The 14,324-nt window shown below is 40.4% G+C and overlaps 1 protein-coding gene across 11 annotated transcripts in view, besides 1 other annotated feature; it reads left to right on the top strand.

The window, feature by feature from the left end:
• WDR27 (WD repeat domain 27) overlaps positions 1 to 14,324 on the top strand; it is a 275,610-nt gene that overhangs the window by 214,433 nt on the left and 46,853 nt on the right. Inside the window, exon 26 of one of the 11 annotated variants that reach the window (XM_011535691.4) lies at positions 13,783 to 13,850. The exons of the other annotated variants lie outside the window; for them this stretch is intronic. Within the exon in view, the coding sequence (XP_011533993.1) occupies positions 13,783 to 13,821 (39 nt within the window). The 3' untranslated portion in view covers positions 13,822 to 13,850. The remainder of the gene's footprint in view (positions 1 to 13,782; positions 13,851 to 14,324) is intronic. 11 annotated transcript variants of the gene reach the window in all.
• Positions 13,719 to 13,818: an enhancer, noted in NCBI's record as "active region_25462". NCBI's record gives its function as "activates an Ori minimal core promoter by ATAC-STARR-seq in GM12878 lymphoblastoid cells {active_cell/tissue: GM12878}" and the evidence as "EXISTENCE:reporter gene assay evidence [ECO:0000049][PMID:35858748]".

Genomic DNA, 14,324 nt, shown 5'->3' with positions numbered 1-14,324 from the left:
CTCATGGCTCACTTTGGGTTATATGCCAATATCTTCCCCACTGTAACCTCAAGCATGAGGTTTGCGACCCCTTTCAAGCGCCTCGACTCTGTAATCCAGGGAGCAGCGAGGCCCACAGTGTCTGAATAGCCCTCACGTGTGAAGCCAGGGTGAGCACGCACCTTCTGTTTCCTGACACTCCTCCTCTTTGCAAACGGCCTTCTCCCCAGCTTCTTTGAGGAGGCACATGGAGCTAGCAGGTAGATTCTGGTGCTATTAATGACATTGTTCTACATTCAGATCAAAGTGGAGGAGACATATTTCTGGCATGTTCCTAGTTGTCACAGAAGAGGTCGATGTTCACATTATAAAAAATAATGGTATTCGCTGTATGTCAAGTATTGCTACAATTATTTATATTAACTGATTCAGTCCTCACATGAACCCTCCGAAGAGGATGCTGTTATTGGCCCCATTTCATAGATAAAGGAGCTGAGGTGGGTGAGACTCCGTAACTTTCCTTAGATGACATGGCTGGTGAATGGCACTGCCAGGATTCAAATCCAGGCTGCTGGACCCAGTCCGGTCTGCTCAGAATTGCTGTGCTGCCCTCCAGTACCCATGGGCACCAGGACTTGCTTAGGGAATAATGAAAGCATGAAGGTTCTCAAGAATTTGGATTGTAGAGAAAAGTCACTATTTTTAGAGTTAGATGTGATTTACTCCTCCTTTTGCAAACTTGGAAGATGGCTGTCAATGAATAAAGAAACTGGTCTCAGTGCCTGTGAAAACATCGAGGAAAAGGACAGCTTTAAAAACTTGCCTTCTGGCCAGGAGCAGTGGCTTATGCCTGTAATCCCAGCACTTTGGGGGGCTGAGGCGGGTGGATCATGAGGTCAGGAGTTCGAGACCAGCCTAACTAACATGGCGAAATCCCGTCTCTACTAAAAATATGAAAATTAGCTGGGCGTGGTGGCATTTGCCCATAATCCCAGCTACTCAGGAGGCTGAGGCAGGAGAATTGCTTGGACCCGGGAGGTGGAGGTTGCAGTGAGCCGAGATCGCGCCACTGCACTCCAGCCTGGGTGACAGAGTGAGACTCTGTCTCAAAAAATGAAATGAAATGAAATGAAATATAAATAACCCTGCCTCCTGGTGGAGGAAACAAAGGCTGCCGGAGCCTGCAAGGCTGGGTAACCACAGGAGGGTGGTGGACAGGGACATTCACAGCCTGTGCTGCAGTTAGGGTGGGACCCACATGATAGTACACTGGGTATATACTTAATAATGGCTTTGCTGGGTCAAATGGTAGCTCTCTTTTAAGTCCTTTGAGAAATCTCCAGACTGCTTTCCACAGTGGCTAAACTAATTTATATTCCCACCAAGAATGTATGAGTGTTCCCTTTCTCCATAGCCTCACCAGTATCTGTTGTGTTTTGGTATTTTTCTTACAAAAAAAAAAAACCTTTTTAAGTTCAGGGGTACATGTGCAGATTTATTATATAGGTATATCATATCAAGGGGATTTGTTGTGCAGGTTATTTTGTCATCCAGGTACTAGGCCTGTCACCCAATAGCTACTTTTTTCTGATCCTCTCCTTGCTCTCCACCTCCACCCTCAATACGCCCCAGTGTCTCTTGTTTCCCTCCATGTGTCCATGTGTTCATCTGGCTCCCACTTGTGAAAACGTGCAGTATTTGGTTTTCTATTCCTGAGTTAGTTTGCTAAGGATAATGGCCTCTAGCTTCCCTTGCATCCCTGCAAAGGACATGATCTCATTCTTTTTTATGGCTGCATAGTGTTCTGTGGCGTATATGTCCCACGTTTTCTTTCTCCATTCTACCATTGATAAGCATTTAAGTTGATTCCATATCTTTGCTATTGTGAATAGTGCTGCAGTGAACGTACACGTACATGTGTCTTTAGGATAGAATAATTTATATTCCTTTGGGTATATACCCAACAATGGGATTACTGGGTTGAATGGTAGTTCTGTCTTTAGATCTTTGAGCAATCACCACACTGATTTCCACAATGGTTGAACTAACTTATACTTCCACCAACAGTGTATAAGCGTTCCCTTTTCTCTACAATCTCACCAGCATCTGTTATTTTTCGACTTCTTAATAGCCATTCTGACTGGCTTGAGATGGTATCTCATTGTGATCTTGATTTGCATTTCTCTCATGATAAGTGATGCTGAGCTTTTTCTCATATGCTCATTGGCCATATGTATGTCTTTTGAAAAGTGTCTGTTCATGTCCTTTGCCCACTTTTTAATGGGGTTGTTTTTTCTGTAAAGTTGTTTCAGTTCCTTACGGATGCTGGATTTTATTAGACCTTCGTCAGATGCATAGTTTGCAAATACTTTATCTTATCCTGTAGGTTATCTGTTTACTCTGTTGTTTGTTTTGCTGTGCAGAAGCTCCTTAGTTTAATTAGGTCCCATTTGCCAACATTTCCTTTTTTGCAATTGCTTTTGGTGTCTTTGTCATGAAATCTTTGCCTGTTCTTATGTCCAGAATAGTGTTGCCTAGGTTATATTCCAGGGTTTTTATAGTTTTGGGTTTTACATTTAAGTTTTTAATCCATCTTGAGTTTATGTTTGTATATGGCTAAAGGAAGGGGTCCGGCTTCAATCTTCTGCATATAGCTAGCCACTTATCCCAGCACCATTTATTGAATAGGGAGTCCTTTCCCCCATTGCTTGCTTTTGTCAGGTTTGTCAAAGATCAGATGGTCATAGGTGTGTGGCCTTATTTCTGGCCTCTCCATTCTGTTCAATTGGTCTCTGTGCCTCTTTTTATACCAGTATAGGTATAGGGCTACTGTAGCCCTGTAGTATAGTTTGAAGTTAGGTAATAAGATGCCTCCAGCTTTGTTCATTTTGCTTAGGATTGCCTTGGCTATTCAGGCTCTTTTTTGGTTCCATATGAATTTTAAAATAGTTTTTTTCCAGTTGTGTGAAGAATGTCATTGATAGTTTGTTAGGAATAGCATTGAATTTGTAAATTGCTTTAGGCAGTATGGCCATTTTAATGATATTGATTCTTCCTATCCATGAGCATGGAATGTTTTTTCATTCGTTTGTTTCCTCTCTGGTTTCTTTTAGCAGTAGTTGTAATTCTCATTGTAGATGTCTTTCACCTCCCTGGTTAGTTGTATTTCTAGGTATTTTATTCTTTTTGAGGCCATTGTGAATGGGAGTTCACTCATGATTTGGCTCTTGGTTTGGCTGTTGGTGTGTAAGAATGCTAGTGATATTTGTGTGTTGATTTTGTATTCTGAAACTTTGCTGACGTTGTTTATCAGATCAAGGAGCTTTTGGGCTGAGACGATAGGGTTTTGTAGATATAGAATCATGTCATCTGCAAACAAAGATAGTTTTATTTCCTGTCTTCCTATTTAGATGGCTTTTATTTCTTTCTCTTGCCTGATTGCTCTGGCCAGGACTTCCAATACTATGTTGAATGGGAGTGGTGAGAGAGGGCATCCTTGTCTTGTGTCAGTTTTCAAGGGGAATGCTTCCAGCTTTTGTCAATTCAGTACAACATTGGCTGTGGGTTTGTCATAGATGGCTCTCATTATTTTGAGGTATGTTCCTTCAGTACCTAGTTTATTGAGATTTTTAAATATAAAAGGATGTTGAATTTTATTTAAAGTCTTTTTGGCATCTATTGAGATAATCATGCATTTTTGTCTTTAGTTCTCTTAATGTGATGAATCACATTTATTGATTTGTGTATGTTGAACCAACTTTGCATCTGGGGATGAAGCCTACTAGATTGTGGTGGATTAGCTTTTGGATGTGCTGTTGGGTTTGGTTTGCTAGTATTTTCTTCAGGATTGTTGCATCAATGCTCATCAACGATATTGGCCTGAAGTTTTCTGTGTGTGTGTGTGTGTCTGTGTGTGTGTGTTTGTGTTTGCCATGTTTTGGTATCTGGATGATGCTGGCATCATAGAATGAGTTGGGGAGGAGTCCCTTCTCCTAAATTTTTTGAATAGTTTTAGTAGGAATGGTACCAGCTCTTCTTTATACGTCTGGTACAACTCAGCTTTGAAAACATTTGATCCTGAGCTTTGGTTGGCTGGCTATTTATTACCAATTCAATTTCAGAACTTGTTATTGGTTCAGATTCTTTCTGGTTTAGTCTTGGGAGGATGTATGTGCCCAGGGATTTAATTTATCCATTTCTTCTAGATTTTCTAGTTCGTATGCATAGAGGTATTCATAGTAGTCTCTGATGGTTGTATGTCTGTGGTGTTAGTGGTAACATCCAACTTATCATTTCTAATTGTGTTTATTTGGATCTTCTCTGTTCTTATTAGTCTAGCTAGCAGTCTCTTACTAATTTTTTCAAAAAACCAACTTCTGGATTTGTTAATCTTTTGAATTGTTTTGTGTCTCAATCTCCTTCAGTTCAGCTCTGATTTTGGTTATTTCTTGTCTTCTGCTAGCTTTAGGGTTGGTTTGCTCTTGCTTCTTTAGTTCTTTTAGTCGTCATGTTACTTTGTTAATTTGAGATATTTCTACCTTTTTGATGTGGGTGTTTAGTGCTATAAATTTCCCTCTTAATACTGCTTTAGCTTGTCCCAGAGATTCTGGTATGTTGTATCTTTGTTCTCATTAGTTTTGAAGAACTCCTTGATATCTGCCTTCATTCTATTATTTACCCAAAAGTCATTCAGGAGCAGGTTGATTAATTTCCATGTAATTGTATGGTTTGGAGCAATTTTCTTAGTCTTGATTCCTATTTTTATTGAGCCATGGTCAGAGAGAGTAGTTGGTATGATTTCAATATTTTGCATTTGTTGAGAATTATTTTATGTCTGATTGTGTGATTGATTTCAGAGTATGTGACATGTGGTGATGAAAAGGATGTATATTCTGTCTTTTTAGGATGGTGAGTTCTGTAGATATCTTATCAGGTCCGTTTGGTCTAGTGTTGAGTTCAAGTCCTGAATATCTTTGTTAATTTTCTGCCTTGATGACCTGTCTAATACTGTCAGTGGGGGTGTTGAAGTCTCCCACTGTTATTGCACAAAAGACTAAATCTCTTTGAAGGTCTCTAAGAACTTGCTTTGTGCTCAGCATCACTGATTATAAGAGAAATGCAAATCAAAGCCATAATGAGATACCATCTCATACCAGTCAGAATGGCAATTATTAAAAGTCAAAAAATACAGATGTTGTTGAAGTTGTGGAGCATAAAATTAGTTCAACCATTGTGGAAGACAGTGTGGTGATTCCTCAAAGACCTAAAGAGGGAATTACCATTCAACCTAGCAATCCCATTACTTGGTATATACCCAAAGGAATATAAATTATTCTATTATAGAGACTCATGCACATGTATGTTCATTGCAGCACTACTCACAATAGCAAAGACATGGAATCAACATAAATGCATACCGGCAATAGACTGGGTAAAGAAAATGTGGTACATATACACCATAGAATACTATGTAACCATAAAAAAAGATAAGATCATGTCCTTTGCAGGGACATGGGTCAAGCTGGAGGCCACTATCCTTAGCAAACTGATGCAGGAACAGAAAACCGAACACTGCATATTCTTATTAGTGGGAGCTAAATGATGAGAACTCATGGCACATAGAGGGAAACAACAGACACTGGGATGTACTCAACAGTAGGGGGTGAAAATGTGTCCGGAATTGGTGTGTTCTTGGTCTGCCTGACTTCAAGAATGAAGCCGCGGACCCTCACAGTGAGTGTTACAGTTTTTAAAGATGGTGTGTCTGGAGTTTCTTCCTTCTGGTGGGTTCGTGGTCTCACTGGCTTCAGGAGTGAAGGTGCAGACCTTTGCGGTGAGTGTTACAGTTCTTTAAGGAGGCACGTCTGGAGTTGTTCATTCCTCCCGTCTGGAGTTGTTCATCTCTCCCAGTGGGTTCGTGGTTTCACTGGCTTCAGAAGTGAAGCTGCAGACCTTTGCGGTGAGTGTTACAGCTCATAAAGGCAGTGCGTCTGGAGTTGTTCGTTCCTTCTAGTTGGTTCATGGTCTCACTGGCCTCAGGAGTGAAGCTGCAGACTTTTGCGGTGAGTGCTACAGCTCATAAAGGCGCCACGAACCCGAAGAGTGAGCAGCAGCAAGATTTATTGCGAAGAGTGAAAGAACAAGGTTTCCACAGCGTGGAAGGGAACCCGAGCAGGTTGCTGCTGTTGGCTTGGGCAGCCTGCTTTTATTCTCTTAGCTGACCCCACCCACATCCTGCCGATTGGTCCATTTTACAGAGAGCTGATTGGTCCATTTTACAGAGCGCTGATTGGTCTGTTTTACAGAGAGCTGATTGGTCCATTTTGACAGGGTGCTGATTGGTGCATTTACAATCCCTGAGCTAGACACAGAGTGCTGATTGGTGCATTTACAATCCTCTGGCTAGACATAAAAGTTTTCCAAGTCCCCACTAGATTAGCTAGACACAGAGCACTGATTGGTGCGTTTACAAACCTTTAGCTAGACACAGAGTGCTGATTGGTACATTTACAATCCTCTAGCTAGACATAAAAGTTCTCCAAGTCACTACCAGATTAGCTAGATACAGAGTGCTGATTGATGCATCCATAAACATTTAGCTAGACAGAGTGCTGATTGGTGCATTTGCAATCTGTGAGCTAGACACAGAGTGCTGATTGGTGCATTTACAATCCTCTAGCTAGACATAAAAGTTCTCCAAGTCCCCACCAGATTAGCTAGACACAGAGCACTGATTGGTGCGTTTACAAACTTTTAGCTAGACACAGAGTGCTGATTGGTGCATTTACAAACCTTGAGCTAGACACAAAGTGCTGATTGGTGCATTTACAATCCTTTAGCTAGACACAAAAGTTCTCCAAGTCCCCATTAGATTAGCTAGACACAGAGCACTGATTGGTGTGTTTACAAACCTTGAGTTAGACACAGGGTGCTGATTGGTGCATTTACAATCCTCTAGCTAGACATAAAAGTTCTCCAAGTCCCCACCAGATCAGCTAGACACAGAGTGCTGATTGGTGCATCCACAAACCCAAGCTAGACACAGAGTGCTGATTGGTGCATATAAAATCCTCCAGCTAGACATAAAAGTTCTCCAAGACCCCACCCGACTCAGGAGCCCAGCTGGCTTCGCCTAGTGGATCCCGCTCTGGGGCCTTAGGCAGAGCTGACCACCAGTCCCACGCTGCACGCCTGCATACCTAACCCCTTGGGCAGTCGACAGGACCGGGTGCTGCAGAGCAGGGGGTGGTGCCCGTCAGGGAGGCTCGGGCCACGTGGGAGCTCACGGGAGTGGCAGGGGTGGGGCTCGGGCATGTCAGGCTGCAGGTCCCGAGCCCTGCCCCGCGGGGAGGCGGCTGAAGCCTGGCGAGAATTCGAGCATGGCACGGGCAGGCTGGCAGTGCTAGGGGACCTGGCGCACCTTCCACAGGTGCTGGCCCAGGTGCTAAGCCCCTCACTGCCTGGGGCCGGTGGCACCGGCTGGCTGCTCCAAGTGTGGGACCCGCTGAGCCCGCATCCACCTGGAACTCACGCTGGCCCGCGAGCGCCATGCACAGCCCTGGTTCCTGCCCACGCCTCTCCCTCCACACCTCCCCGCAAGCAGAGGGAGCCGGCTCTGGCCTTGGCCAGCCCAGAGAGGGGCTCCCACAGTGCAGTGGCTGGCTGAAGGGCTCCTCAAGTGTGGCCAGAGTGGATGCCGAAGCCGAGGAGGTGCCGAGAGCAAGCGAGGGCTGCTAGCACATTGTCACCTCTCAGAAGGAGGGAGAGAATCAGGAAAAATAACTAATGGGTACTAGGGTTAATACCTGGGTGATGAAATAATCTCTACAACAAACTCCCATAACACAAGTTAACCTATGTAACAAACCTGCACTTGTAACCTGAAGTTAAAATAAAAGTTAAAAGAAATGACTTCATGATTGACAGAATGCTGATAAGTAGTTATAAAGCAGCTAATGTGCACATATCATTTTAGATACATGGTTCAAAATGAGAAATAATAACTCATTAAATTGGATTTTGTTTGTTTCATTCATTTTTATATCATAAACACATTTTGTTTGACTGTCACCATATAAAATCTAGATGCCTAAATCATTAGAATCTGGATGCTCCTGTCTGGAGTGCATATATGTTTAGGACAGTTAAGTTTTTCTTGTTAAATTGAACCCTTTACCATAATTTAATGTCCTTCTTTGTCTTTTGTGATTTTTATTGGTTTAAAGTCAGTTTTCTGTTTTTTGGCTTTTTAATAGCCATTCTGATTGGTATGAGATGGTATCTCATTGTAGTTTTGATTTACATTTCCCTGATGATTTCTGATAATGAACATTTCTTTCATTTGTTTGTTGGCCACTTGTATGTCTTCTTTTGAGATGTGTCTATTCATGCCCTTTGCCCATTTTTCAATGAGGTTGTTTTTGCTTCTTGAAGTTTCCTATAGATTCTGGGTATTAGGCTCTGTCAGATGCATAGTTTTCATCTGGCAAAAGATTGTCTTTTTGCTTTGTTGAGAGTTTCTTTTGCTGTACAGAAGCTATTTCATTTCATTAGGTCCCATTTGTCAATTTTTGCTTTTGTTGCAATTGCTTTAGGGGACTTAGCCAAAAATTATTTGCCAAGGACAAAGTTAAGAAGAGTATTTCCTAGGTTGTCTTTCAGGATTTTAATAGTTTACAGTCTTACGTTTAAATCTTTAGTCCATTTTGAATTAATTTACATATATGGTGAAAGGAGTCCAGCTTCCATATTCTGCATATGGCTAGCCAGTTATTCCAACACCATTTATTGAATAGGGAGTCCTTTCCTCATTGCTTGTTTTTGTCAGCCTTGTCGAAAATCAGATGGTTTTTGATGTGTGGCTTTCTTTCTGAGTTTTCCATTGAGTTGTATTGGTCTATGTGTCTGTTTTATTGTTGTTGTTGTTGATTTTACCAGTACCATGTTGTTTTAGTTACTGTAGCTCCATCTGATTTTTAATCATTGCTTTTTAAGATTGCTTTGTTGTGGCACATAAGGTGTGTGATGTTATAAAGAAAAGCCATCTTTTTTTTTTCTTTGGGCATTTAAACATCTAGAGTTTTAAAAATTAGTTTATGATATAGGCTTATAATTCTTCATAATAAAGTATTACTGTACATGTACACCCGACTTAACCTGAGGTACAAGCAACATTATTTTATTAGTGCCATCTTTTACATGGCTTAAAATGCAAAAATCGTATTTTATTACTCAATAAGAATTTTTGACATAATTTCTTTTGAATAATCTTTTGCCAACTTCCATTATCTGCATTACTTTGTCCAACATGTGGTAGCATTTATTTGTTTTAAATGAAGGCTTATTGATATATAATTTATATATGGCAAGATTCATTCTTGTGTTGCACAAGTAAATGAGAATTTATAGTTGCATCATCATGTGACCTCCACCACAGTCAGGATGAAGAACGCCCCCACCCAGAGAGATCTCTTGGCCCCCCTTGTAGGCATCTCCAACCCCCAGTCACTGGCTGACCCTGGCTTGACTTCTGTCCCTCCAATCTTGTTTTTTCAGGAAGTCATGTAAGTTGGAAAGTACAGTGTGCATTTAGTGTGTGTGTTCCTTCATGAACATAGTACTTTTAAGATTTGTTTATGTATCAATAGTTTTTTTTATTGCCAAGTCAAGTTCCATTGCATAGATATGTCACATTTTGTGTATTTGCCAGTGTGTGGATGTTTTGATTGGCTCTAATTTTTATCTATTATGAATGAAGCTGCTAGAAACATTCATGAACAGCTCTTTGAATGAATGCATATTTTTATTTTTCTTGAATAAATACATATGGGATTTCTAGGTCATGTATTATTTGTATGTTTTACTTTATAAGAAACTGCCAAAAAGTCCAGGCACAGTGGATCACGCCTTTAATCCCATAGTGAGGCCAAGGTGGGTGGATCACTTGAGGCTTGGGCTTCAAGACCAGCCTAGCTAACATGGAGAAACCATGTCTGTACTAAAAATACAGAAATTAGCTGGTCATGGTAGTGCATGCCTGTTGTCCCAACTACTTGGGAGGCTGGGGCACAAGAATTGTTTGAACCTGGGAGGCGGAGGTTTCAGCGAGCTGAGATTGCACCACTGCACTCCAGCCTGGTCAACAGAGCCAGACTCTGTCTCAAAGAAAAGACAAATTAAAAAAAATTAAGAAACTGCCAAACTGTTTTCCAAGCAGCTGTGCAATTATACCTTCCCGCCAGAGGGATATATAAGAATTACACTTGTTTTAACAGTGAGAATGGGGTACGTTTTATTTGAACACCAGCTAATATAATGCAAAAAGGCAATTATGGGCCCATTTCAGTTATGAACAAAATTATGTAAATCCTAATAAAAGAAGAGCCAACTGAATTCAACTGTGCTCTTAAAATGCATCTTGACTAAGTAGGGTTTACTCCAAACTCAAGGTCAGCTAAGCATCAGAAAATCTAATGACTTGATTCACTACTTTGATACAGTAAGGAGAAGATACTTTCTTATCTCAGTAGATCCTGAAGAAGCATTTGGTTTTGTTACTATTTAGGATTTAAAATGAAATCTAGCAAAGTAGGAATAAAAAGGAGATTCTTGATCTGAATCTGTTTAGTTAAAGACACAAATGTCACTTTTACAACTCCTTTTGACACAATACTGGAGATCCTATCCAGTATAACAAAGACAAACAAGAGTGATGACTGGTAGAGATAAAACTCTCATTATTTGCAGATGATTTGATTAATTTAGCTTGAAAGACCAACAGAATTATTATGCTATTATAACTAACATAATTCAACAAGGTCACTGCATGCAGTATCTAGTTACAACAATAATTACACTAACAATAACTAAGTAAACTTAAAAATAAGATTTCCTTTATAATGGCAACTCATACTTGAAAGTGTCTAGGAACTTAACTAAAAAAAAATAGCCATGGGGAAAATTTTAAATCTCTAATAAACTGCTGTTGGGGTGATCAGACCCAACACCAGGTCATGGGGGTGACGAAGCATGGTGGAGTCAAAGGAATGAGAAAAGACAGTTTAAGAGAGAAAGTGGGTCCAGGGGGCCAACACGAGTATGAAGGCTGCAAAGGCCCTGAGCTCTGGAAGCCCAGACTATTTATTGGTGATCAAACAAAGAAACAGGTGGTGAGAATGTGGGGTTGAAAGGGAGCATTGCATTAAGCACATGATTTACAGCTGTGATGGTTTAGCATATGCTCTGCTACTTGAGATAATGGAGAGCAGGTTCTTTTAACTCAAGACACAATCGACCCTGGGAGAGCAAGGAGCAAGGAGCCAGCAAGTCTAGACACATTCAAGAGCCACAAGCCCTGGATTCTATCCAAGCCACGAGGGGTTTTATGCCCTGGGCTTAGATTATGGTGCATCAGGGTAGCCTTCCACCCTTTAGCACAGAGCTTGGTGTTCCAAAGGCCACAAGGGGTTTGAGACCCTGGACCCTGGACATGTTCCAAGACTCTTTTACATTATGTCAGACATGCAAGCCCTGCCTCAGCTTCTCTCCCAACACTCAGCTTTTCTCCCAACAGCTGCATAGAAGATCTAAGTAACATTCCATATAATTCCATAGCTTAAGTTACAACTTAATGTTATAAAAATGTCAATTCTCCATTAATGTATAAATGCACTGCAATCTCTATCAAAATTCCAGTAGAACTCAGTAAAGTTATTCCAAAAAAATATGTAGGAGAAGAATGGTCCATAAAAGATAAAGTCAACTTTATATTTTCCCTATTAGAGAATTAAAAAAATGCTTTCAAAGACACAGAAATAAAAAAAATGGAGCAGTGGCTCAAGAACTGCAATTAAGCCAGAAGAATGTAGAGAGGGAAGTGCAATTAAGCCAGAGAATTCAGAGGGAGACCCATGTATATTTTCAGGCTTGATACATATTAAATATGGAAGCACAAAATAATGGGGAAAAGATGGGTTATTTGGTACAATGTTTAGAGAAAAACTGGCTCTCTCCATTGTGAAAAATAAAACGATTTCTATTTAAATATATGATTTAAATATCTCAATTGAAAGGTAAAACTATAAGTAAGTAGAAGAGGCCAGATGCAGTGGCTCATACCTATAATCCTGGCACGTTGGGAGGCTGAGGCGGGTGGATCACCTGAGGTCAGGAGTTTGAGATCAGCCTGGCCAACATGGCAAAAACCCGTCTCTACTAAAAATACAAAAATTAGCCAGGTATGGTGGGAGGTGCCTGTAATCCCCACTACTTGGGAGGCTGAGGCAGGAGAATTGCTTGAATCCAGGGAGGGTGGAGGTTGCAGTGAGCCAGGATTGCGCCACTGCACTCCACCTGGGTGAAAGAGCAAAACTGCGTTTCAAAATGAATCAATCAATAAATAAGTAGAAGAAAATATAGGATAATATTTTTGTAAACCCTGTGCTTGGGAAAAACTTTTTAAATAAAACTTGAAAAGCATAAAATGTGACAAAAAAATGTAATGTAGTTACAGAATTATTTTCAATGAAGGACACCATGACAAAGTTAATGGCCAACAACTGACAGTAAGGTTTAAAGTGGAGAAAGGAGTAATATATTAAAAAGTGTGCCTTGATTCTTGCTAGACCTCAGAGTCACTGGGGGCTCTTCTCTACACTTGTTGTACCTCACTGAACACTAACTGAAACCGAATTTCTGTGAATGGGATGGGCACTTTATCAAGAGCTGACTGCCATGTGGTATAGATTCAGAATGAAGCCCCATTGATTTAGAAAGATTATTGCATGTCCTATATGAGAGATTTGCTAATAATTTAGGTCTGGATTTATTTTTATCATTCCTGGAACTCATTTTGCTCTTCCTTAATAATGATTTATTTTTTCTTAATTATGGGTAATTCTCATTATTATTCCCCTTTATCTTTTCTCACTGTTTTTTTTTAATTGTAGAACTCTTACTAAATGAATATCGGGATTAGTCTGTCATCTGAACTCTCTTGCACATTTTCCATCCTCTCAACTCTATGAGTTACACTCTGGATGATTTCTTTATATCAGTTTTCCAATTCACTAATTCTCTCTTCAGCTATTTCTTAGCAGGTCTTCACCCATGAATTAAATGTTTATCATCAATGACTTCACTTGTATTTCTATTATAACTAATGTCTTTTTCTTTTACCATGTTTCTAATAATAAAACAAAATTTAGTTAAAGACTGCATATTACAGTTATATTGTCTAAAGTTCTTAGTACTTTGTTTCTGCTGTTTATTGTCAACTAATTCTAATTCATGGAGAGATGATCTTCAGCAGAGTTTATTTATCCTTAAGGATTGCATGTGACTTTACCTGAGAATGTGGCCATCCAAGGAGCTCTAGGTTTGCTTCTGTAGGTGCTCCAGGAATATTACTAGGCAACACCATATTTCTTTGTTAGTTTCTCTAGTTGGTTATATTTAAATCACATAGACAGCATAAATTAAAACTGAAAACTTGCATAAGGGAAGCCCTGTGGTTACAGATTTACTCTATGGGGGACATCCTAATTTATTTTAGGAAAGGATTTGTTCCTGTCCTTCATAGCTTGCCTTTCAGCCTACTGCTTTTCTGGGAAACTTCCATTCGCCACACACAGTTAACCATGGGGGCAGCTATCACTGACACCTGGCCCCAGTTGGGCCAAATTTTGAAACTGAAACAGAGAAGCAGAGGCCAAAGGTGAAACCTGATAGCTGAAGAGATCCCAGCTTTTTGTTGCTGTTTGTTTTGCTTGCTCATTTTGTTTTCTCTGCCCATGTGGATTACAGGACTGGAGACACATGGTTTCCAAAGAGAAAGAAGTGTAAGGAGAACACCTATCAGTGAATAGACCCAGGTGATGAAACTGAAAGGAAGTACTGGTGATTCTTGCATCTATGGCTCTGGTTTTCCCCAAACCCCCAAATCTGTTTTTTTTTTCTTTAGCTCCTTTAGACATTCTAATAACCATATAATAAAATGCCTTTCTGCTAAACTAGTGCAAGTTGGGTTTCTGTCCCTTGCCATTGAGTTAGTCATTCATTTTAAATTATTACAGCACCTTTTCTTTCTCACTGAAGAGACATTGGGAGAGTTTTCCTTTTTTCTCATTCTAGGTTGTACTTTGTCACCTTGCCCAAGAGACTCCTAACATCCCTATGTGTCTTTAAAAATCTCTTTAAAAATAACTCATTCCCTGTTTTCTGTTGCCCCATTTTCCATAAAATAAAGCTCAACACTAGTTCATTGAGTTCCACAGGAAACCGAAACTGAGCCTCCTTCCCTTTTGTCACTCTTCAGTCTCCAAGCGCACTTGCCTCTGGGGATGAGC

Source organism: Homo sapiens, chromosome 6 (genome assembly GCF_000001405.40).
Source record: "Homo sapiens chromosome 6, GRCh38.p14 Primary Assembly".
Taxonomy (NCBI): Eukaryota; Metazoa; Chordata; class Mammalia; order Primates; family Hominidae; genus Homo; species Homo sapiens.
The sequence above is the reverse complement of the archived record's forward strand: the minus strand, read 5'-3'. Positions and strand labels throughout refer to the sequence as shown.